The sequence below is a fragment of the Homo sapiens genome, chromosome 13, assembly GCF_000001405.40.
Source record: "Homo sapiens chromosome 13, GRCh38.p14 Primary Assembly".
NCBI lineage: Eukaryota > Metazoa > Chordata > Mammalia > Primates > Hominidae > Homo > Homo sapiens.
In genome coordinates, this window is record NC_000013.11 from 33407673 (window position 1) to 33433968 (window position 26296).

At 37.8% G+C, this 26296-nt stretch overlaps 1 protein-coding gene across 5 annotated transcripts in view, besides 1 other annotated feature; it reads right to left on the reverse strand.

Annotated features, from left to right (window-relative positions):
* STARD13 (StAR related lipid transfer domain containing 13) overlaps window positions 1-26296 on the reverse strand; it is a 573658-nt gene that overhangs the window by 304536 nt on the left and 242826 nt on the right. The window lies entirely within an intron of this gene.
* Window positions 2496-3063: an enhancer, noted in NCBI's record as "NANOG hESC enhancer chr13:33984305-33984872 (GRCh37/hg19 assembly coordinates)". NCBI's record gives its function as "activates a minimal SCP1, AML or CMV promoter by ChIP-STARR-seq in naive H9 embryonic stem cells {active_cell/tissue: H9 hESC(naive)}" and the evidence as "EXISTENCE:reporter gene assay evidence [ECO:0000049][PMID:30033119]".

Here is a 26296-nt window from a genome sequence, read left to right on the forward strand (position 1 = left end):
TTAAATGAATCTTGTTATTTTCTCCATTCATGCTCAAATCACAGCCAGGAGCTGCTTAGAAAAGCTTGGCCTGGGAGTTAGAACATTGCCTTAACCGCCTGGGTGGCAGTGGCAATTCTTGCAAAGCAAACTCAGGGATATTGGTGGTAGCGAGGAACCATTGTCAGAAAGCCATCAAAGCTACAGTGAAGTCAATGCCCCTTCATGTTACCCCTATTCTCACAGAGTCTGGATTTGGGAATAATTGTAGCAATGTATTTTCATGAGTTGATTGAGTAATTTGCATTTACTAATCTCAACGTGAAATGAAAGCCAGCCTCAAGAACGGGAGTTGTCCCTGGCTGTCGTTTCTTGTGGTCTCTTTCTCTGTGGTACACCCTCAGAGCAGGCATTCTCTACCCATTGCCTGTGCCTTACTTCTGTGTGTTAGTAGTATGCAGGTGAATCCGTGTGATAGCTTTATTTTTTTAAATTTGTAATTGTGGTAACTACGCATAACATAAAATTGACCGTCGTAATCATTTCAAGGGTACTGTTCAGTGGTGTTAAGTATACTCACATGGTTGTGTAATCAATCTCCAGAAATGGTTCATTTTCTAAAAGCGAGATTCTATATTCATTAAACAATAACTCCCCACTTTCCTCTCCCCTCCAGCCCCTGGCAACCTCCATTCTACTTTCTGTTTTTATGGATCTGACTTTTCTAGATACCTCCTATGAGTGGAGTCATACAGTATTCATCTTTTTGTAAATGGTTCATTTCATTTAACATAATCTCCTCAAGGATCATCCACATTATAGCATGTGGCAGAATTTCTTCCTTTTTAAGGCTGAATATTCCATTGTTTGTATACACCACATTTTCCTTATTCATTTGTCTATGGGTGGATGCTTGGGTTACTTCTACTTAATGCCTTTATTTTAAAATAACTAAAATCTTGTGACACAAAGGTACAACAATGTATATCCTTGGAAAAAGCTGATTATTATGCTCTCTTTAAACTGAAGAATTAAGCCCATTTCCTGGGCATAAAAGATCTGGCCTTGGCTGATGTCATCCCAATCCATTTCCTCTCTCTCCTCCTGTCCCACCTCCCTCACCTCTCTCTGGCTGTTTTTGCTCTTCATCTAAAAGGCCAGGCTTACTCTTACCTTGAGGCATTTGCCAGTGATGTTCCCTCTGCTTTGAATGTTCTCTTTCCCGAGATATCGGGATAGCTTTCTCCCTCCTTCCTTCACATCTCTGCTCAAATGTTACCTTATCCAAAACATCTTCTCGAACCAGCCTCCACCAAGAGCAACCAGCCCTCTCACTTTGCACCCCATTCTCTCTCTGCCTCTCTTTTGCTTGATATTTCCATGACAGCCATCACCTTAACTCATATTATATATTTTCTTGTTTTTATCACCTAGTTTCCCCACTAGAAAGAAAGCTCTATGAAGTCAAGACTTTGTTTTATTTACACTGTATGTATCTCCAATACCTAGACCTGTGTCTGGTAAATAAAATTCCTTCAAAAACATTTTTGTACGATTTATATATCACTTACTATGTGCCAGCTATTGTTCTCAGTGCTTTACAAATGTTACCTCATTTCATCTGTATAAAATTCTAAGACCCAGCTACTATCATTGTCTCGATTTTACAGATAAGAAAACTGAGGGCATAGAGATGTCAAGTAACTTACTCAAGGTCACCCAGGTGGCATGTGGTGGAGCTACAGTATACACTGAAACAGTTTGGTGCTAGCAGCTGTGCTTTGAGCACTGCACCATGAGTGGAAGAATAAATAAAAGGGACCTTAAGTTACTAAATGAGATAGAAGAGGTTGCAGATTTTCTTCTTCTCATCATGCATCATAACGTTCTTGCTTGGTGAAAATTTGTGCTATGCATTAGAGATTCAACAGGGCAGAGAAATGTATTAAGTACGTTTTTCTACTGCCTTTTCTACTCTGTTGGCAGAGAAAATCCCTGGCATGTGAGGGTACATTTCTCCCCACCTTGGATATTATGTTCAGAACTTGGTTATGGGCAGTGGAAGTTAGCCTAGTACCTGCCTGACCAAATAGAGGAAAATACATTTCAGAACATGACAGGTCAGGACACACTAACATCCTTCTGGGAATAAGATTTCTTCATTTATATTTACCAGTCTTAACTGGAAGTGCAAATACCTTACCAAGAAAGGAAGACACTGTGGTATTTCAACTTCCCTTTATGTTATACACAAATGTCAGCCTTTACAGTCACAGCTTTTCCCAGCACATTCTCCTTCCAGTTTAATTTTTCCTGTCTTTGTTCTTTAGCAATCTCTTTATCCTCCCTTCCCTGGTCTGTGTTGCACACCATGTACTGTATATTTGGTATAGCATGTCAGAATTCCTCTAATCTGCCACTTCACTTGGAAAACACTGGGGTGATTACTAATTTATTGCTGTCTTCTGGTAAGTGCTTAATGCAAGCTTAATAAAAATCAGTGGTTGTGTGTGCCTCTCCTTTGTAGGAATATACTTCTGATAGATGACTAGGTTAGGTCATTGTCAGATGATTTATGGAAAATATTCTAGGATAATCTGCCACCAGCATTTTATTGGTGTCACGGAAGATGCTAATGGTCACATAAGTGGAAGCAGAAGCAGAAAAATGTAGGTGCTATACACCCTCTCTTCAAAAGGCTCATTGTGAGCAAAGAGGTTAATAGTATGGAATGGGGACATCTTGCTTGATCACAGTAACATCCCAAGACAATTAAAGTTAGGATGCTAAGTGCATTTCCAACCATGAGGCCAATGTTTATAGGTTCTCAGCCATCAGGCTTTATCTCCTCATTTTGGGTAACAAAGAAGTACTTGTCATTTCTCTCACCATCCACAGGACCCACCCAGAGTGCCTGACCTCTTGCCCCTTCCCTGTTGGAGAAGGGTCTTCTCCTACAAAAGGAAACCACTTGTGAGGGATGGTTAAAACAAACTGTCTGCACTAGAACTAGACCCTTTCAACACAATAATTTCATCTTTCTCTTTTAAGCGCTCCTCACACAGTATGGCATAATGAAATCACAAACTGCCCTGCGTTCATCTTTTTCTGGAACCATACAGAACATTTCTGTCCTCTGGCAGACAATCTCTGCAGTCTCTGCTCAATGTCAGGCTGTGCAGGAGGTGGCCTCTCCCAGCCTCAACCCAAGCATCAGCACAACAACTAGTCATCAGCCAAAGGAAGAATGTGGTTCACTTCATTATAATGTCTAGAAATTTGACATTTCTTCCTAATCATGGCTTTCCAATTTCAACTCATCAAAATTTCCATGCAAACTTTTAGGCTTTAAAGCAGTTTTTAAAAGAAGCTGTTTAATTTGTTAATCCTACCATTACAGTCCCTATGGTTTCATCTATTTTATGGCAACATTTCTGACTTGTAATATTTGACTTCTTCAAAATATTGGGACATAGCAAGATTTACTACATCATTTATTTCATTATACATAACTTAATAGACATCTTCAGCCTTTTAAATTAAATTTAGAAAATTCCTTAGCAGAGTAAGCTCCTGTCAGGCAAAATAAGCGCCATTCTCCATAATAAAAGGCGTATGTGGGACAGATAACAGGCAGAAACTGTTTCCACCCTTGCTGTTGTACTTCTTCCCATTTCCTTTCTTACTTGTCAGAAGTGGACTGATTCACTTCAGAGTCTGTTTTTAACTGGGATTTCCTCTGATTGTCCACTCTCTAGAGACACCATAGCCTGCTCAAATGCATTTCTGCTATTGACTTTCCATTGGATCTTTATAAGATCCAGTCATCCAGGCAGGCTGCTCTGTGGGCAGCACTTCAGCAATGATGAGGCTGCTGTTCCCAAGAAACAAAGGGAAGGTGGGAAGAGGCTCCCACCGAGAAACAAGTTAAGAGAGCTCTTGATTTTGGCAAGCATAGAAAGAAGTAGGTTTATTTGGAAAGAAAATTTTCAAAAAATAAAGAAGTACTGATCTTTTTACTGTCTCCATAGTTTTCCCTTTTCCAGACTGCCAAATGGGTGGAATCATATAATATGTAGCCTTTTCATATTGGATTCTTTCACTTAGTAATATGCACTTAAGTTTCCTTATGTCTTCACATGGCTTGATGGAAAAACAACAATTTTCAAGTGCTGAAAGAAATGGATCGTCAACCCAGGATCCTATATCAGCAAAAATATTATTCAGAGATGAATGAGAAATAAAGACATTATCAAATGAAGGAAAAATAAAAGAATTTGTCAAAAGCAAACCTACCCCAATAGAATGACTAAAGGAAATTCTCTAAACAGAAAGGAATAGTGAAAGAAGAAAGGAGGGAAAATCATGTTAACCAAAAATATGGGTAAATATGATAAGACTTTCATTCTCCTCTTGTGTCTTCCACATTCTGTTGATGGTTGAAACAAAACTTATGCCACTGTCTGATGTGGTTCTAAATGTAAACAGAAAATATTTAAGTTCTAAATGTAAATTGAGAAAAGACTTTATCTTCCATAATAAAAATGGAGGAGAGGAAAGGGAAGTACAGGAAGATAAGTGTTCTGTACTTCACACACTAGCAAAATGACACCAGTAAACTGCAATGTCATAGAAATATGGTGTCATGTCTAGAGCAACCACTAAAATAGCTATGCAACGAGATACCCTCAAAAACACTATAGAAAGAGCAAAATGAATTCTGAAATATTTTCAAGTAACACACAAGAATGTAGGAAAAAGAAAAGAGAGAAAAACAGAATAAATGGAAAACAAAAATTATAATGGCACAATTAAGCTCTAACATCAATAATTACATTGAACATAGTGATCTAAATATACTAATTAAAGACAAAAATTGAAAGAATTGATTTTTTACAAAAGAACCACTTTATGCTGTCTATGAGGAAGATACTTCAAATATAACGATACAGGCAGGTTGAAAGTAAAATAATGAAAAAATATACCATACAAACATTAATTGAAAGAAAAAACTATAGTAATATGAAAATGAGTTGGATACAGTGACAAAAAAATGACGAGAGTCATAGAGGGACACTATGTAAAAGGGTAAATTCACCAAGAGGATACAGTAATCTTAAATGCATATGTGTCAAAAAGCAGAGTTTCAAAATATGTGAAGCAAACATTGATAGAACAAAAAGGAAAAATAGGCAAATCTACAATTATAACTGGAGTTAAACACTTTCTCAACAACTGATGGAACAAGAGGACAGAAAATACACATGGATATAGAAGAACTCAACAGCACCATCAACTAATAGCATATAATTAATATTTATAGAACACTTCACTCAACCACAGCAGAATAGACCTCATCATGGGCTGTAAAACAAACTGTGGCAAATTTAAAACAATTGAAATAAAACAAAATGTTTTCTCTGACCACAATGTAATTAAACTAGAAATTAATAGCGGATAGGTAACGGTAAAATCTCCAAACACTTGGAAACTAAACAACACACTTCTAAATAATCTATGGCTCAAGGGGAAGGCTCAGGAAAAGTTTTAAAACATACATTAAATAGAATGAGAAAAAATACAATATATCAAAATTTGTGGGTCATAGCTAAAGCCATGAGGGAAACTTGTAACACTAAATGCATACATTAGAAATGAGGAAAAGTCTCAAATCAATAATCTAAGATCCTACCTCAAGAATCTAGGGAAAAAAAGCAAAATAAATTGGAGGCAAGCAGAAAGAAAGAAATAATAAAGACGAGAGCAGAAGTTGATGGAATTGAAAATAGAAAAACCATAAAGAAAACCAATGAAACAAAGAGTTGGTTCTTTAAAATTGACAAACATTAAAATTAAAAACTTTCGCTCTGTGAACCTCATGTGAAAAGGATGAAAAGCTACAGAGAGGGAGGCCATATTTCCAAACCACATAGCCAACAAAGGACTGGTATCTAGAGTACAACAGAACTCAAAACTCAAAAGTAAAAATACACAAACAAACAAACAAACAAAATCCCACAATCCAATTAGAAAATAGGCAAAAGAAATGAGCAGACATTTCACTGAAGAGGATGTACAGAAAGAAAATAAGCACATGAGGCCAGGTGCGGTGGCTCATGCCTGTAATCCCAGCACTTTGGGAGGTCGAGGCAGGCAGATCACCTGAGGACAGGAGTTCAAGACCATCCTGGCTAATACGGTAAAACCCCCATCTCTACCAAAAATACAATAATTAGCTGAACATAGTGACACACACCCATAATCCCAGCTACTCAGGAGGCTGAGGCAGGAGAATCGCTTGAACCTGGGAGGCAGAGGTTGCAGTGAGCCAGGATTGAACCACTGCACTCCAGCCTCAGGGACAGAGTGAGATTCCCTCTCAAAAAAAAAAAAAAAAAAGAAAAGAAAAAAGGAAACACGTAAGATGCTCAATAGCATTGTCCATAGGAAAAGGCATATTAAAACCAAAATGAGATATTATAGCACACCTATTAAAATGGCTAAAGTTTAAAAATAGAGAAGACACTAAATTCTGACTACGATGCAGAGAAACTATATCCCTCTGACATTGCTAGTAGGAATGTAAAATAGTACAGTCAATCTGGTAGACACTTCAGAAATTTCTTCCAGCAATTGTTTTCCTATGCATTTATCACACAGAAAAACTTAGGTTCACACAAAAACCTCTACATGAATATTTTTAGCAGCTTTATTGATGATAGTCCCACTGTAAACAACTTGGATGTCCTTCAATGGGTGAATGGTTGAGCAAACTTTGGTGAGTCCACATCACAGAATACTATTCAGCTATAAAAGGAAACGAGCTAGTGATACAGGCAACAACCTAGATGAACCTCTAGAGAATTAGGCTGAAGGGAAAAAGCCAATCTTAAAATGTTACATATTGTATGTTTCATTTATATATCATTTTTGAAAAGAAAAAAATTACAGAAAGAAAAGAATTAGTAGTTGCCAGAAGTTAAGGACAGGTGGGGGTGGGAGGGAAGTGGATGTGACTACGGAAAACAGAACAGGAGGATCCTTGTGGTGATGAAAATGTTCTCTATCTTGACTGTGTCAATGTCGATATCCTAGTTGTGATACTGTACTATATAGTTCTGCAAAACATTATCAATGAGAGAAAATGGCTAAAGGGATATAGAATTATTAGGATCAATATTATTAATCCTGTCATATTAGAAAACATTTTATAGTAATATACATAGCATGCTTCCATTTCATCAAGAGCAAACAACAAAGCAGCCAACCTCTAGATAGGAATCGTTGGGGTAGAATGTCTGTAAAGATGGTTGCCAGTAAGCCCCTCGCTTCCCTCTTTTTCTGTAATTTGTTACATGGCAATAGACACCTGCGACATATTTGTATGTATATCAATGTTTATAAAACAGATGATTGTGAATAAAAACATACCTGTCGCCGGGCATGGTGGCTCACACCTGTAATCCCAGCACTTTGGGAGGCCGAGGCGGGCGGATCACTAGGTCAGGAGATCGAGACCATCCTGGCTAACACGGTGAAACCCCGTCTGTACTAAAAATACAAAAAAGTAGCCGGGCGTGGTGGCGGGCGCCTGTAGTCCCGGCTACTCAGGTGGCTGAGGCAGGAGAATGGCGTGAACCCGGGAGGCGGAGCTTGCAGTGAGCTGAGATTGCGCCACTGCACTCCAGCCTGGGCGACAGAGTGAGACTCCGTCTCAAAAAATAAATAAATAAATAAATAAATGCCTGTCAAGCATGGTTGCTGGGCAGTGGCAGTAGGAGTAAGAGGGAAATGATTAACTTATAATTTATATATCTTTATATTGTTTTACTGGTTTCTACAAGTATATATTATTCCATAATTCTTAGGACATCAATTAAAGAAAAATTTTACTAGGAAATGAAGATGTTCTTTTTTTTGTTGTTAAACACGAGCTTTGAAAAAGTGTCTTCCTCTCATTTCATTTTTATGTCTGTCTTTTGCTGCAGCGCTCCGCAGACCTCAATTTCAGATCGTTGTGTATAATGCTGGTTTCATAAACACCTTTATAAATCAGTTTTAAAAATAAAGGCCAAAAGCTTATACATTCAAAGTGCCTCTGGATTTGCAACTAAAACATCCTTAATCTTCTTTAAATAAGCTATAAAAACTAAGCGAGAGATAGTCATTAAGAAAATTGATTTAAAAAATTCTTACTAACGCAATCTGTAAGATAGATTAGAAAAGTGCATTAGCTCACATAACATTTTATCAGCCTGTAAAATTTTCCCTAGCTTTCTCTGCTCTTAACAGTGCTATAGCAATGATAAATCTCCAGGAAATTTATCAGAAGAATAAGAAAATGATCATGTTTTTGCTGTGGGTTGCAGTTTTCATTTGTATTACCTTTCATATTTATTGAATGCTTGATTTCTTTAAGATATTTCTGAATTTCTCATAGGACCTGAAACTCCTGGCCAAGGCCATTTTCATTAATTTGGTTCAACAGATTTATATCCATAGTGTGTACTATGTGCTAGATACTATGCCAGGTGTTTGAAGAAAGAAAATGGGAAAATTAAAAAGAAAAGAAAAAGCAGAGGAATTATCAATCACTAGATATCAATCTAGTAAGAAAAGTAAAACATTTTCAAAAACTATATAATGTGCTGATGGTAAAGCCACAAAGACTAGACAGTAGATTCCATTTGAGCTAGTTGTAAGGGTGGTAAGATTGAGTAGGAGTTTGGCAGGCAAATGAGATAAGGAACTGTATTCCAGATAGACTGGAAGTGTGCAGAATAACAAGGAAGTATAGAAGAGCATAATGTGATTGAGGAAGAAAATGTAGTTGGTGAGGATGTAGTCTGTAGTTTCTGATGGACAGGGAGTAGAAACGACAAGAACACAGGCTATTTTAAAATTAAATCACAGGTTCTTTTTCAACAAGAGTGTCATTTCAATAGGGGGAAAATGATATTTTCAAGTGATGCTGGAACTAGATATTCACACGCAAAAGATTAGTCAGATTCCTTCTCTAGACCACACACAAAAATTAATTCCAAGTGGACTGCAGACCTAAATGTAAATGCTAAAACTACAAGACTCTTAGAAGAAAACAAAGGAATAAATATCTATGATCTTGGGTTTAGTTAGGCAAAGCCTTCTTAGAGATGATCTAAAAAATATAAGCAACAAGATAAAAAATAGATAAATTGGAATTTATGAACAGTTAAAAAATTTGTAATCCAAAGGACACCATCAAGAAAGTTAAAAGACAACTCTAAGAATGGAAGAAAATGTTTGCAAATCATAGTATATCTGATAGGGAATTGTATACAAGACTATATAAAGAATTGCTATACTTCAACATTTTAAAAAGACAAATAACTCAATTTTAAAATGGGCTTTAAAAAGTGACCATAAAGGAGGAATTGAACAGATATTTCTTCCAGGAAGATACACAAGTGACCAATAGGCACACAAAAAGATGCTTGACATCATTAGTCATTAGAAAAATGCCAATCAAAACCACAATGAGATAACAATTTCATATCCACTGGGATGGCTATAATAAAAAAGACAAATAATAAAAAGTGTTGGTGAGGATGTCAAGAAATTGGAACATACATACATTGCTGGTGGGAATTTAAACTGGTGCAGCCATTTTGGAAATAGTTTGGCTTTCTCTTCAAAATGTTAAACACAGAATTACCACAGGGCCCAGCATTCCTTCTAACCTGACTGTTAGAAGGAAAACTAACGAAAGAAATGTCTTTCTTGTGGCAAGTATATACCCACAAGAAATAGAAACATGTCCGCACAAAAACCAGTGGATGAATGTTCATAGCGGCATTATTCACAGTAGCCAAAAAGTGGGAACAACCCAAATGTCCACAAACTGATGAACAGATCATCTCTATGTAGTATGACCATACAATGGAATATTATTCCAGAATAAAAAAGTAAAGTATGGATCCATGCTGCAACATGAATGAGCCTTGAAAATGTTATGCTGAGAGAGTAGCCAGTTGAAAAGACCACATACTGTACGATCCTGTTTATACAAAATGTTCAGAATAGGCAAATCCGTAGAGACACAAAGTAGACTCATGGTTTTCAGGGACTAGGAGGTAAGACTGGGGGGGAAATGGCGATTGATTGCTAATGGGTGAGGGATTTCCTTTTTGTCCTGCTGAAAATGTTCTGATATTTATTACGGTGATAGCTGCAAAACTCTGTGAATATACTAAAAATTATTGACTTATACATTTTAAATGGGTGTATTGTAAACCGTATCTCAATAAGCCTGTTTAAAAAAATCTGTTATAGATCTTTGTCCAAGATGGCCGAATAGGAACAGCTCCAGTGTGGAGCTCCCAGTGTAATCAATGGAGAAGACGGGTGATTTCTGCATTTCCAACTGAGGTATCTGGTTCATCTCATTGGTACTGGTTGGACAGTGGGTGCAGCCCATGAAGGGTGAGCCAAAGCAGGGCAGGGCATCACCTCACCCAGGAAGTGCAAGGGGTCAGGGGATTTCCCTTTCCTAGCCAAGAGAAGCCGTGACAGACTGTTCCTGGAAAAATAGGACACTTTTGCCCAAATACTGTGCTTTTTCCATGGTCTTAGCAACCAGCAGATCAGGAGATTCTCTCCCATGCCTGGCTTGGCAGGTCCCACGCCCACGGAGCCTTGCTCACTGCTAGCACAGCAGTCTGAGATCAACCTGCAAGGCTGCAGCTGGGCAAGGGGAGGGGTGTCTGCCATTGCTGAGGCTTAAGTAGGTAAACAAAGCTGCCAGGGAAGCTCAAACTGGGTGGAGCCCACCGCAGCTCAGCAAGGCCTACAACCTCTATGGACTCCACCTCTGTGGGCAGGGCATAGCTGAACAAAAGGCAGTAAAAACTTCTGCAGGCTTAAACGTCCCTGTCTGACAGCTCTGAAGAGAGCAGTGGTTCTCCCAGCATGGTGTTTGAGCTCTGAGAATGGACAGACTGCCTCCTCAAGTGGGTCCCTGACCCCCGTGTAGCCAAACTGGGAGACACCTCCCAGTAGGGGCCAACAGACACCTCATACAGGCGGGTGCCCCTCTGGGACGAAGCTTCCAGAGGAAGGATAAGCCTGCAATATTTGCTCTTCTGCAATATTTGCTGTTATGCAGCCTCTGATGGTGATACCCAGGCAAACAGTGTCTGGAGTGGACCTCCAGCAAACTTCAACAGACCTGCAGCTGAGGGACCTGACTGTTAGAAGGAAAACTAACAAACAGAAAGGAATAGCATCAACATCAACAAAAAGGACATCCATAGCAAAACCCCACCTGTAGGTCACCAATATCAAAGACCAAAGGTACATAAAACCACAAAGATGGGGAGAAACCAGAGCAGAAAAGCTGAAAATTCTGAAAACCAGAGTGCATCTTCTCCTCCAAAGGACTGCAGCTCCTAGCCAGCAATGGATCAAAGCTAGATGGAGAATGACTTTGACGAGTGGACAGAAGTAAGCTTCAGAAGGTTGGTAAGAACAAACTTGTCCAAGCTAAAGGAACATGTTCTAACCCATCACAAGGAAGCTAAAAACCTTGAAAACAGGTTAGATGAATGGGTAACTAGAATAAACAGTGTAGAGAAGACCTTAAATGACCTGATGGAGCTGAAAACCATGGCACGAGAACTTCATGACACATGCACAAACTTCAATAGCCGATTCAATCAAGTGGAAGAAAGGATATCAGTGATTGAAGATCAAATTAATGAAATAAAGGAAGAACACAAGTTTAGATTAAAAAAAGAGTAGAAAGAAATGAACAAAGCCTCCAAGAAATACGCGACTATGTGAAAAGACCAAATCTACATTTGATTGGTGATGGGGAGAATGGATCCAAGTTGGAAAACACTCTTTAGGATATTATCCAGGAGAACTTCCCCAACCTAGCAAGGCAGGCCAACATTCAAATTCAGGAAATACAGAGAACACCAGAAAGATACTCTTCAAGAAGAGCAACCCCAAGACACATAATTGTCAGATTCACCAAGGTTGAAATGAAGGAAAAAGTGTTAAAAGCAGCCAGAGAGAAAGGTCGGGTTACCCCCAAAGGGAAGCCCATCAGACTAACAGCAGATCTCTTGGCAGAAACCCTACAAGCCAGAAGAGAGTGGGGGCCAATATCTACATTCTTAAAGAAAAGAATTTTCAACCCAGAATGTCATATCCAGCCAAACTAAGCTTCATAAGTGAAGGACAAATAAAATCTTTTACAGACAAGCAAATGCTGAGAGATTTTGTCCCCACCAGGCTTGTCTTACAAGAGCTCCTGAAGGAAGCACTAAACATGGAAAGGAACAAGCAGTACCAGCCACTGCAAAAACATGCCAAATGGTAAAGACCATTGATGCTATGAAGAAACTGCAACAATTTACAGGCAAAATAACCATCTAACATCATAATGTGAATTGAATTCACAAATAACAATATTAACCTTAAATGTAAATGGACTAACTGCCCCATTTAAAAGACACAGACTGCCAAATTGGATAAAGAGTCAAGACCCATTACTGTGCTGTATTCAGGAGACCCATCTCATGTGCAGAGACACACATAGGCTCAAAATAAAGGGATGGAGGAAGATCTATCAAGCAAATGGAAAGCAAAAAAAAGCAGGTGTTGCAATCCTAGTCTCTGAGAAAGCAGACTTTAAACCAACAAAGATCAGAAGAGACAAAGAAGGCCATTACATAATGGTAAAAGATCAATTCAACAAGAAGAGCTAACTATCCTAAATATATATGCACCCAATACAGGAGCACCTGGATTTATAAAGCAAGTCCTTAGAGACCTACAAAGAGACTTAGACTCCCACACAATAATAATGGGAGACTTTAACACCCCACTGTCAGTATTAGACAGATCAATGAGACAGAAGGTTAACAAAGATATTCAGGACTTGAACACAGCTCTGCACCAAATGGACCTAATAGACATCTACAGAACTCTCCATCCCAAATCAACAGAATATACATTCTTCTCAGCACCACATCACACTTATTATAAAATTGACCACGTAGTTGGAAGTAAAGCACTCCTCAGCAAATGTAAAAGAACAGAAATCACAACAAACTGTCTCTCAGACCACAGTGCAATTAAATTAGAACTCAGGATTAAGAATCTCACTCAAAACTGCACAACCACATGGAAACTGAACAACCTGCTCCTGAATGACTACTGGGTACATAATGAAATGAAGGCAGAAATAAAGATGTTCTTTGAAACCAATGAGAACAAAGACAAAACATACCAGATCTCTGGGACACATTTAAAGCAGTGTGTAGAGGGAAATTTATAGCACTAAATGCCCCAAGAGAAAGCAGAAAAGAACTAAAATCGACATGCTAACAACACAATTAAAAGAGCTAGAGAAGCAAGAGCAAACACATTCAAAAGCTAGCAGAAGGCAAGAAATAACTAAGATCAGAGCAGAACTGAAAGAGATAGACACAAAAAACCTTTCAAAAAATCAATAAATCCAGGTTTTTTGAAAAGATCAACAAAACTGATAAACTGCTAGTAAGACTAATAAAGAAGAACAGAGAGAAGAATCAAATAGACACAATAAAAAAATGATAAAGGGAATATCACCACTGATCCCACAGAAATATGAACTACCATCAGAGAATACTATAAACACCTCTACATAAATAAACTAGAACATCTAGAAGAAATGGATAAATTCCTGGACACATCCACCCTCCCAAGACTAAACCAGGAAGAAGTGGAATATCTGAGTAGACCAATCATAGGCTCTGAAATTTAGGCAATAATTAATAGCCTACCAACCAAAAAATGTCCAGGACCAGATGGATTCACAGCCGAACTCTACCAAGGTACAAAGAGGAGCTGTTACCATTACTTCTGAAACTATTCCAATCAATAGAAAAAGAGGGAATCCTCCCTAACTCATTTTATGAGGCCAACATCATCCTGATACCACAGCCTGGCAGAGACACAACAATAAAAGAGAATTTTAGACCAATATCCCTGATGAACATCGATGCGAAAATCCTCAATAAAATACCAGCAAACCGAATCCAGCAACACATCAAAAAGCTTATCCACCACGATCAAGGTGGCTTCATCCCTGGGATGCAAGGCTGGTTCAACATATGCAAATCAATAAACATAATACATCACATAAACAGATCCAACCGCAAAAACCATATGATTATCTCAATAGATGCAGAAAAGGCCTTCGACAAAATTCAACTTCCCTTCATGCTAAAAACTCTCAATAAGCTAGGTATTGATGGAACATATCTCAAAATAATAAGAACTATTTATGACAAACCCACAGCCAATATCATACTGAATGGGAAAAAACTGGAAGCATTCCCTCTGAAAACCAGCACAAGACAAGGATGCCTTCTTTCACCATTCCTATTCAACACAGTGTTAAAAGTTCTGGCCAGGGCAATCAGGAAAGAGAAAGAAATAAAGGGTATTCAATAAGAAAAAGAGGAAGTCAAACTGTGCCTGTTTGCAGATGACATGATTGTATAATTAGAAAACCCCATCATCTCAGCCCAAAACCTCCTTAAGCTGATACGCAACTTCGGTAAAGTCTCAGGATACAAAATCAATGTGCAAAAATCACAAGCATTCATATACATCAATAACAGACAAACAGAGAGCCAAATCATGAGTGAAGTCCCTTTCACAATTGCTACAAAGAGAATAAAATACCTAGGAATTCAATTTACAAAGGATGGGAAGGATCTCTTCAAGAACTACAAACCACTGCTCAGCGAAATAAAAGAGGACACAAGCAAATGGAAGAACATTCCATGCTCATGGATAGGAAGAATCAATATCATGAAAATGGCCATACTGCCCAAGGTAATTTATAGATTCAATGCCATCCCCATCAAACTACCAATGACTTTCTTCACAGAACTGGAAAAAAATTACTTTAAAGTTCATATGGAACCAAAAAAGAGCCTGCATTGCCAAGACAATCCTAAGCCAAAAGAACAAAGCTGGAGGCATCATGCTACCTGACTTCGAACTTTACTACAAGGCTACAGTAACCAAAACAGCATGGTACTGGTACCAAAACAGAGATATAGACCAATGGAACAGAATAGAGCCCTCAGAAATAACACCACACATCTACAACCATCTGATCTTTGACAAACCTGACAAAAACAAGAAATGGGGAAAGGATACCCTATTTAATAAATGGTGCTGGGAAAACTGGCCAGCCATATGTAGAAAGCTGAAACTGGATCCCTTCCTTACACTTTATACAAAAATTAATTCAAGATGAATTAAAGTCTTAAATGTTAGACCTAAAACCATAAAAACCCTAGAAGAAAACCTAGGCAATACCATTCAGGACATAGGCATGAGCAAGCACTTCATGGCTAAAACACCAAAAGCAATGGCGACAAAAGCCAAAATAGACAAATGGGATCTAATTAAACTGAAGAGCTTCTGCAACAGAAGAAACTACCATCAGAGTGAACAGGCAACCTACAGAATGGGAGAAAAGTTTTGCAATCTATCCATCTGACAAAGAGCTAATATCCAGAATCTACAAAGAACTTAAACAAATTTACAAGAAAAAATCAAACAACCCCATCAAAAAGTGGGCAAAGGATATGAACAGATACTTCTCAAAAGAAGACATTTATGCAGCCAACAGACACATGAAAAAATGGTCATCATCACTGGTCATCAGAGAAATGCAAATCAAAACCACAATGAGATACCATCTCACACCAGTTAGAATGGCAATCATTAAAAAGTTAGGAAACAGCAGGTGCTGGAGAGGATGTGGAGAAATAGGAATGCTTTTACACTGTTGGTGGGAGTGTAAATTACTTCAACCATTGTGGAAGACAGTGTGGCGATTCCTCAATGATCTAGAACTAGAAATACCATTTGACCCAGCGATCCCATTACTGGGTATATACCCAAAGGATTATAAATCATGCTACTATAAAGACACAGGCACTCGCATGTTTATTGCAGCACTAGTCACAATAGCAAAGACTTGGAACCAACCCAAATGTTCATCAAGGATAGACCGGATTAAGAAAATGTGGCACATATACATCATGGAATACTATGCAGCCATAAAAAAGGATAAGTTCGTGTCCTTTGCAGGGACAGGGATGAACCTGGAAACCATCATTCTAAGCAAACTGTCACAAGGACAGAAAACCAAACACGGCATGTTCTCACTCATAGGTGGGAATTGAACAATGAGAACACTTGGACACAGGGCAGGGAACATCATACACTGGGGCCTGTCGGGGAGTGGCAAGCTGGGGGAGGGATAGCATTAGGAGAAATACCTAATGTAAATGATGAGTTGATGTGTGCAGCAAACAAACATGGCACATGTATACCTATGTAACAAACCTGCATGTTGTGCACATGTACCCTAGTACTTAAAGTATAATAATAATAACAAAAATAAACAAAAATCTGTAACAAAAAAAAAATCTGTTATACCAAAACAACCAAAAAACAAAAAACAAAAACCCCAGACTCAGAGCCAGACTACTTAAGTTGAAATTGTGCTCTTTCATTACCCATTATAAAGTTCTGAGCTATTTAACTTCTCTCGCCAGTATCTCCATCAAATAAATGAATGATTACTTCCAGCTGAGATCTTCAGGGAAATTTTTACAGAGGTGGAATTTGGGCTGGTCTCAAAGACAGTGCTCTTCAGGATTGTGAGATGAAGACCTTAAAAGGGAGGAGAAACGAACTAGTACTTTGAAAACAACTATTGTGCACCAGGGTCTGTGCTAAGCATTCTGCGCACATTATTGCCCTCTGCTTTGTAGTTATGAAAAAAGGAATCCTGAAAGTGAAATCATTTAAAGTGACCAAGTAGGGGTTCAATTGCAAGCCCAGGGTCTCCTGTGTCTGGCCTAAGCAACACCCGTGAAAAGAAAAGCTCAGGCAGCTGGTGGAGGAAGCAAGGTAAGGTTTCTCTGGCAGCGTCCGGGGGCAGTGAGTGGCAATTCGATTTTTTAGAATCTTTAATGGCCAGACAAATTTTCTGAATTTCATCCTGTGGGTAATGAGGAGCCATGGAAGTGCTCATCAAAAAAAGACATAGCGGTAGTGGTAGGCATGTATTTTTACATGTAGAAGTCCAATTCATCTTGTAACTTATTAGGCAGCTCAACTCTAACTTTGAGAAAACTTGCAATGTTACTCAAAATAGACATAGTCTGACAAGCTGGCCTTTGGTAAATTTTCCAGCAGAGAAAGTGGTTTGCTTCCACAATTAAAAGATGACTTTAAAAAGTGAATTAAAACTCTGTGTCTGAAAGTTTGTTACTTTGAGCTGCTGATTGTTACTGAATGACAGACTGATTTTGATGTGAATGTTGATGCTAAGAATAGATACTTGAAGACTTTCAATCTAATGAAAACTCTGAGAAGATGAACAAAAACTGTAGCCTCACTTTATGCAAGAGCTTAGTGAAAGGGAAAACCATTCAAATGGTGTATATGCGTTTATTTCATGGTGCCTTCTTTCACAAGTTGAGGAGGCATCATGAATGCCTTGCCTCTGCCTCCTATTTGGAAAGAGCTTCTTTCAAAGCCACCAACAAGCATAGTGTCCAGCAAGCATCTGAAGTGCCTAGGAACTGTCAGACCTGGCATGCCGAGGTAGGCACCACATAGTTGACGGAACAGGTAGCAAATGTGTGCTCAACCCCATCCCAGGAGGGACCCCAAACTTAAGTTATGCTGCTACATTGGTGCCCTGAAGGGCCAGGGTGCTCTTTCTCTCTAAGCCAATGGTTCTCAAGGGAGATGCTACACCTTCTAGAATGTGTGCATTTGGGAAAAAATGAGGAGGTACATTTTTGTTTATTGTAATGATTGGGATCTTTCACTAGAACTTAGTGGCCAGTTGTCATATTCTGACAATCCTGAAAACCAGGACTGGACACTGAAGGTGTACCCTGCATTCTACATGATTGCCAAATCTACTGCCACATTAGTTATTATCTGAGCTTCTCTGAGACTAGACCCTTACTGTATTTTACATACAGACAGAAAGCAGTTTTTACATGGTTTTAATACATACTCAATTTTCCAGCAATGACACTACCATGTAAATGGTGGGAAGACTGCGAAGTTTGCTCATAACTTTGTGAAGATCTGTTCACCATCACAGGACATGTTACCAAGGATGATGTCATTCATGGTATTGGGACCACCAGTTTAAGACATCCGAAGTAACCTGCATTTGTAATTACTGAAATTGTTGTTTTTACTGTGTCCAAATATATATATTCTCATTTAGCCATTATTTTAAAATGTTGACTCTGATAGTCTGTGTTTAAACCATTTATTTATTTTTGGGTTATCTAGGCTTTTCTATACTACTTCCATAAATTGTACAATTTCTCTAGAGCTTCTTGTAGTAAAGCTTCCTTTTCCTAATCCATCCTTATTTTTCTGTGGCCTATGGAAGAAAATTATCTCTAATGTCTTTACATATGAGACTAACCGTATACACTGACATGTGGTGGAATTTCAAGAATGCATATATGTTTTTGGTGATGCTTTGTTTCTACCCTGTCCTATTTTATAACATGAAGTTAATTATTGTGACATCATACATAAATAAAGCCCAGCTCATTTGCAAGAATATCAGACTTCCTCATTTTCTCCACATTGACAGTGACAACTTGTCTTAGCATCTAATCTTGACTTTAATTAAGGTTATTTTATTCTGCCTTCTATCACACACTTACAAGTCTGCCTGTTATTACTCATCTCAGCCCTGGTTTCATTCTAATTCCCCCTTACCTCCACTCTTTCACTTACCTGTAACTCTTCTGCCAAATCACTTCTCATATTCTTACTTTTTTTAAATCCAAAACTATTCATTATAAGCATTGGGCTATTTCATTATATCTTCTAATGTGGCCAAGCTGAGCATTATATACTAAATACATTGTCATTTAATTATAAATTATTTTTCTTTTTATTTATTACACTTGAGGCATTATATTGGTTTTTGAAAATATTTGTATTTGCTATCTGTCCATTTCCTTTCAGAAGGGTAAATAGAGTGTACTTATTTGTTTTAAAATTCTTTATGTTGTATTAAGAGGTCACAGTACTCCTATTATTATGACAAAATATTCTTCGTATTTTCTATCTGAGACAATGGAATGTGTCTTACTCAAGATTACATATAAAGAATGAGTTTTCACATTTTAGATAAAGTTAGAATACCTTGGCTTCTCCTTCTATTCTCAGTTTATGAACTTGTATTCACCATTAAAATGCTTTATCATGCATGATTTGGGTACTCAGTAAATATAACTTTTAGGTAGAGGTGGTTATGAGAGCTCTGTATAGAACTAATTATTATCAATAATAACAATGCAAGTAATAGCTATTATGTATTGATCATGTGCAGGCATCAAAATTAAAAGTTTCCATTTATTATTATCTCGTTTAACACTAATAATAATTATGCCCAATAGGTGCGTTGTTATCCATATTAATAGACGAGGAAAATGAGACGTACACAGATGGGTGCCTTGTCTTAATCACAAGGCTAGTTAAGTGACAGGGACCTAGACTCAAACTCAGGCCTCTCTATCCCAAATGCCCATATTTTCTGCCTCCAAAAAGAATGTTATTCAGTTTTGTATTAACAAATATAAAACATAAAAATAATATTTTGGATTACAGAGGATGGTAGGAGCACTTTCAATAAATCCGTTAAGGAAACCAATAATCCCTACAAATATTTTAAGTCAAGAGGATTTAAGGAGGGAAAGATAATATAACCCACACTGGTGGCACGCCAGTTTTCACGAGCCATGCCATAAAGATATTCCCTTTTTTTCCACTTGAAATAAATTCACCCAATACTATTTTTCACGAGGGTCAAACCAAACAACAACTTGTGCTGTTCAAAATGGTAGCCAGTAGTTATATACAGGTATTGAGCATTAGAAATGTGGCTAGTCCGTAACATAAAAATAGACACATAGCCAGGTGTGGTGCCTCACGCCTGTAATCCCAGCACTTTGGGAGGCCGAGGCGGGCGGATCACCTGAGGTCAGGAGTTCGAGACCAGCCTGACCAACATGGAGAAACCCCATCTCTACTAAAAATACAAAATTAGCCGGGCGTGGTGATGCATGCCTGTAATCCTAGCTACTCGGGAGGCAGAGGCAGGAAAATCACTTGAACCCGGGAGGCAGAGGTTGTGGTGAGCTGAGATCGTGCCACTGCACTCCAGCCTGGGCAACAACAGCGAAACTCCGTCTCAAAAAAAAAAAAAAAAAATTAGACACATAGACCAATGGAACAGAATAGAGAACTCGGACATAAATCCATACATTTACAGCCAACTCTGCTTTGAGAAAGGCACTAGGAACATACAATGGGGACAGATAGCCTCTTCAATGAATGGTTCTGGGAAAACTGGATATACACATGCAGAAGAATAAAACTAGACTGTTAGCTATCATTATATACACAAAATGACTTAATATGGATTAAAGACTTAAATGTAAGACCCAAAACAACAAAACTGCTAAATGAAAACATAGGGGAAATCTTCATGTCATTGGTCTATGCAAGGATTTTTTTGATAAAACCTCAAAAGCATGGGCAACAAAACAAATATAGAAATTAGATTACACCAAACTAAAAAGTTTGTGTACAGTAAAGGAAACAGCAGAGCAAAAAGACAGCACACAGAGTTAGAGAATACACTGGCAAACTATGCATCCGAAAAGACGTTAATATTAAAAATATAAAAGGAACTCGAAAAACTCAACAACAATGAAAACCCCAATTAAAAAATGGACAAAAGACGTGAACAGATATTTCTCAAAAGAAGACATACAAATGGCCAACAGACATATGAAAAAATGCTTAACATTGCTAATCATCAGAGAGGTGAAAATAAAAAACACAAGAAGAGATCATCTCATCCCAATTAAAATGTCTTTTATCAAAAAAACAGGCAACACATCAGTTAAAAAGCTTCTGACAGCAAAGGATACAATTAACAAAGTGAAGAGCAACCTACAGAATGGGAGAAAATACTTGCAAACTATCCCTCTGATAAGGGATTAATAACCAGAATATACAATTATTAGGAGCTTTTTAGGAGCCCAAACAACTCTATAGGAAAAAATGGAATAATCTGATCACAAAATGGGCAAAAGATTTGAATAGACATTTCTCAAAAGGAGACATGCAGATGGCAAGCAGGCATATGAAAAGGTGCTCATCCTCATTGCTCATCAGAGAAATGCATATCAAAACTACAATGAGATATCATCTTACCCTAGTTAAAATGGCTTATATCCAAAAGACAGGCAATAACAAATGCTGGCGTGAATGTGGAGAAAAGAGAACTCCTGTGTGCTGTTGATGGGAATGTAAACTAGTACAACCACTATGGAGAACAGTTTGGAAGTTTCTCAAAACACTAAAAATTGAGCTACCATATGATCCAGCAATCCCACTGCTGGATATAAACCCAAAAGAAAGGAAATCAGTGTATCAAAGAGATATATGCATTCCTGTGTTTGTTGCAGCAATGTTTACAATAGCTAAAATTTGGAAGCAACCTAAGTGTCCATCAACAGATGGAGTAAAGAAAATGTGGTACAGGGCCGGGCGTGGTGGCTCACGCCTGTAATCCCAGCACTTTGGGAGGCCGAGGCGGGCGGATCACGAGGTCAGCAGATTGAGACCATCCTGGCTAATACGGTGAAACCCCGGTTCTACTAAAAATACAAAAAATTAGCTGGGTGTGGCGGCAGTGAGCCGAGATTGCGCCACTGCACTCCAGCCTGGGTGACAGAGCGAGACTCCGTCTCAAAAAAAAAAAAAGAAAAGAAAATGTGGTACATACACACAATGGAGTACTATTCAGCCATAAAAAACAATAAGACCCTGCCATTTGCAACAACATGGATGGAACTGGAGATCATTATGTTAAGTGAAATAAGCCAGGTAGAGAAAGACAAACGTTCCATGTTCTCACTTATTTGTGGGATCTAAAAATCAAAACAATTGAACTCATGGACATAGAGAGTAGAAGGATGGTTACCGGAGGCTGGCAAGGGTAGCAGGGTGCTGGCAGGGGAGGAAATGAGGATTAATGGATACAAAAAAATAGGAAGAATGAATGAGACCTACTATTTGATAGTGCCACAGGGTGTGCCATAATAACCTAATTGTATATTTATAATCAATAATAACTTAATTGTACTTTTTTTTTGGGGGGGGGGGACGGAGTCTCGCTCTGTTGCCCAGGCTGGAGTGCAGTGGCGCGATCTCGGCTCACTGCAAGCTCCGCCTCCCAGGTTCGCGCCATTCTCCTGCCTCAGCCTCCTGAGTAGCTGGGACTACAGGCGCCCGCCACCACGCCTGGCTAATTTTTTGTAATTTTAGTAGAGACGGGGTTTCACCATGTTAGCCAGGATGGTCTCGATCTCCTGACCTAGTGATCCACCCGCCTCGGCCTCCCAAAGTACTGGGATTACAGGCGTGAGCCACTGCGCCTGGCCTTAATTGTACATTTTAAAAATGAAAAGTAATTTGTTTGTAACTCAAAGGATAAATTATTGAGGGGATGGATACCCCATTCTCCATGATGTGCTTATTTCACATTGCATGCCTCTATCAAAATACCTCATGTATCTCATAAACATATACACATACTATGTACCCAGAAAAATCAAAAATTAGAATACATTTTTAAAAGACAGGCAACAATAACAGATGCTGGCAAGGATGTGGAGAAAGTAGAATTTGTGTATAAGGTTGGTGGAAATGTAATTTAGTACACTATGGAGAACAGCATGGAGGTTCCTCAAAAACCTAAAAATAGAGCTACCATATGATCCACCAATTCTACCACTGGATATATATCCAAAAGAATGGAAATCAATATGTTGACAAGATATCTGCAGTCCCATGTTTATTACAGCACTATTCACGTAGCCAAAATGTGGAATCAACCTAAGTGCCCTTCAATGGATAAATGGATAAAGAAATGTGGTATATATACACCATGGAATATTATTCAGTCATAACAAAAATCCTGTCATTTGCAGTAACATAGATGGAACTGGAGGTCATTAGTTTAAGTGAAATAAGCCAAGCACGGAAAGAAAAATATTGCATGTTCTCACTCATGTGGGAGCTAAAAAAGTGGATCTTATGAAGACAGAATAGACTGGAGATTACCAGAGGCTACAAAGGATAGAAGGGAGGTGGAGGTGAAAAGAAGTTGATTAATGGGTACAAATATAGAGTCAGATAGAAGAAATAAATAAAACCTACTATTCTAGATTAGTAGGTGGCTATAGTTTACAATAATCTATTCTATATTTCAAAATAGCTAGAAGAGAACAATTTGGATATTTCTAGCATAGAGACAAGACACATAATTAAGGTCATGGATATTCCAATTATTCTACTTGTTCTTTACAAATTATATGAATGTATTAAATTATCACATATATGTGTGTAACATGGAACTGTGTATATCTATTGCGCATAGATAAAACATCGTTTAATAAAAAAATGTGGCAAGTCTGAATTAAGATGTGCTGTTAAGTGTAAAATACACCCCAGATTTTTAATACCTATTATAAAAAAGAATACAAAATTTCAATAATTTTTATTTTGATTATATGTTAAAATGATATTTTAGAGATACTGGGCTAAATAAAATGTTATTAAAATTATTTTCACCTGTTTCTTTTATTAATGAAACTTATGGATAATTTTAAATTACATATTTGACTCACATTTGTAGCTCACATTATATTTCTATTAGATGGCACTGTTGTGGAATAGATGTCTTTGAAAATAACTAGGCTTAAAATCGAATCATGGGAAAAATTTTTTTGAATATCAAAAGCAAAACATTAAGCAATACCCAATACTAGAGTGTTAGAAAATTTATTTTATTAAAGTGTTGGTCTTAGTTTTTCCTACCAGTTAATAGACGTGCAAAATTTAACACACCATTTAAAATCTATTAACCTCAGTTTCTGTAAAATCAAGATAATAGTTATATTGCTTACCTTACAGGGTGGTCATAAATATAAATGATTATTTGATTCATTCAAAAAATATATCAAAGGTCTAACATGTGGTGGGCCAGGGATACCAAGAACATAAGTTGTTGTACCTTCCTCCATGGGGTTTACAATAGAAATTACAGAATGTTACAGGGGCAATGACGGAACCATTACAAAGTATCTTGTGACTGGCACTCTGCTTAGGGATCAAGGGAAAGTTCAGCGGAGGACTTGGCCTCTGATCCGGCCCGGTGAACCTGAATCAGAGTAAGCCAGGTAGAGAAGTCAAGGAACACCTTGTCTTCAAGTCTCTGAGGTATAGAAGAGCAGGATATGCTCAAGGAAAAATAGGGGTGATTAAGGTGCTGGGAAGTAAAGGAGGAGAGGTAGTGCCTAGTTTGCAGTGTGGACGGTCCTGGTTGGAAGGTTCTGATGCTGGGAGAGAGAGGAGAAAAGAGGACCCACAGTCACTCGCGAGCTTTTCTGATGGTGCCTATATTCTAATATAATTTTGGAATCTTTCTTTTCTTCTTAGAGAAAAGATGTTAGAAAAAGTTAGAATACAAATGAACAGGATTTAATAGAATAGTATTTAATAATTAGTTTCTAGAAAAATTATGTGGAGTGATTTTTTTTAACATCTGCTCAGCTCTTTAGGTTAGAACAGTGCCTCATGAAAGGGTCCACATTCTCAACAGGACAATTGCACGGTTGCCTGGGGGAAGGGGCAGCTTCACAAAACAACCTAAGCCTATAAGAAGTCATTTAAATCTACCAATATTTCCAAAGACTGAATTAGTTGCCAGAGATTAATGTATTTCAAAGTTATCTGCTAGACTGCAGTCAGTACGATAGGTGATTTAAAATTTTCTATGGTACTATATTTATTTATATGAAAATCACAATGAAGATAATGGGGTATGAATAGTACTTTCAAGATTATATGTTTGCACATAACATACTTATAAAAGGCATTTTCAGAAGCAAAAATTATGGCTGCTTTTTAATGTTTGTATTTTCTTTAATGCAACACAGATTTGCATTAATCTCTTAAAACAGAGATTGCTGTTTCAAGAACAATAAAAATAAACATTAACTAATCTCAAAATGATTTAGAAGATGTGGGCATACTATAGAATCTAAAAAAATGAAATAACGCTTTATTTTCACCATTAAATTTATATTACTTAATAAAACAATATGCCATAAATAAAAGTAGAGAGACCCATTTTTTAAACCTCAGACAGATAAAATCATGTTATTGAATAGACAATTTTTATTGTTTTCCTTCCAAATCATGGAACAAATGAGAAGATTAAAAGGATGTTTTTCAGCAAACGTCTGTTATTGACAACAAATGGCTTTGAACAACAAAATAAATTGATACTTCGGTGCTTCTGATTGAAGAAAGTATTGATTATACTAAAGGATTCTTTTAACAAGATAATATTGTTTCTCTTTTGCCAACAAAGTTCCTACTAAGTATTGTGATTACTTTCTGCTTTCTGGTCATAATCTCATCTTTTCAATGTCTCTCATCCTCTAGAAGAACTGCTCCTATCTCCCAGAAGACCTCAAAAGGGAGAAACCAGGAACTGCTTTGTCTTTAGTTAGAATTTGTTCAGGTCTAGCTTCCTTCAAAGACTCTCTAGAAGCAACAACAGCAACAATCTCTATTACATTGGGTTCCAGAGGAAGATGTGAATCAGGCAGTTTTAAAACACAAGAAAGAATCACCAGGAATCACCTTGCAGGAGTCAACAGTGGGTCAGGGTCACATCCTCCTGCTACGTCACGTTCCGCCTTCCATCTGCGTATGCGGAGGGGCCCCTTCAGTATGACTACCATATTACATCTCTGCTAAAACAGAGATCAGACCTCTTGCGTTCTGTAGTTTTGTTTTTCAGAGAGCATTCTCTTGTGAACACTGAGTATTTACAAGGAACATTCAAAGGAGGGTTCATTAACTATAATCATAAAAATAATGCTTCCTTGATTTTAAAAATATGGCCTGTGTCCCTGTCATGCCCACCCTCTGAGTAACAGCAGAAATATCATAGAAAATGGCTGTGTATTTGCCCCCTCTGTGTATTTCCTTATTCTCTTCCCCCATTTGTGATGAGTTCCTTCAGGGAAGGCACTGTTTTTCTTCTATGCATTCCTTGTAATGAGTCACAATGCCCACTCAATAAATTTATGAATCCATACACAGTAGTAGAAGTTTGTGG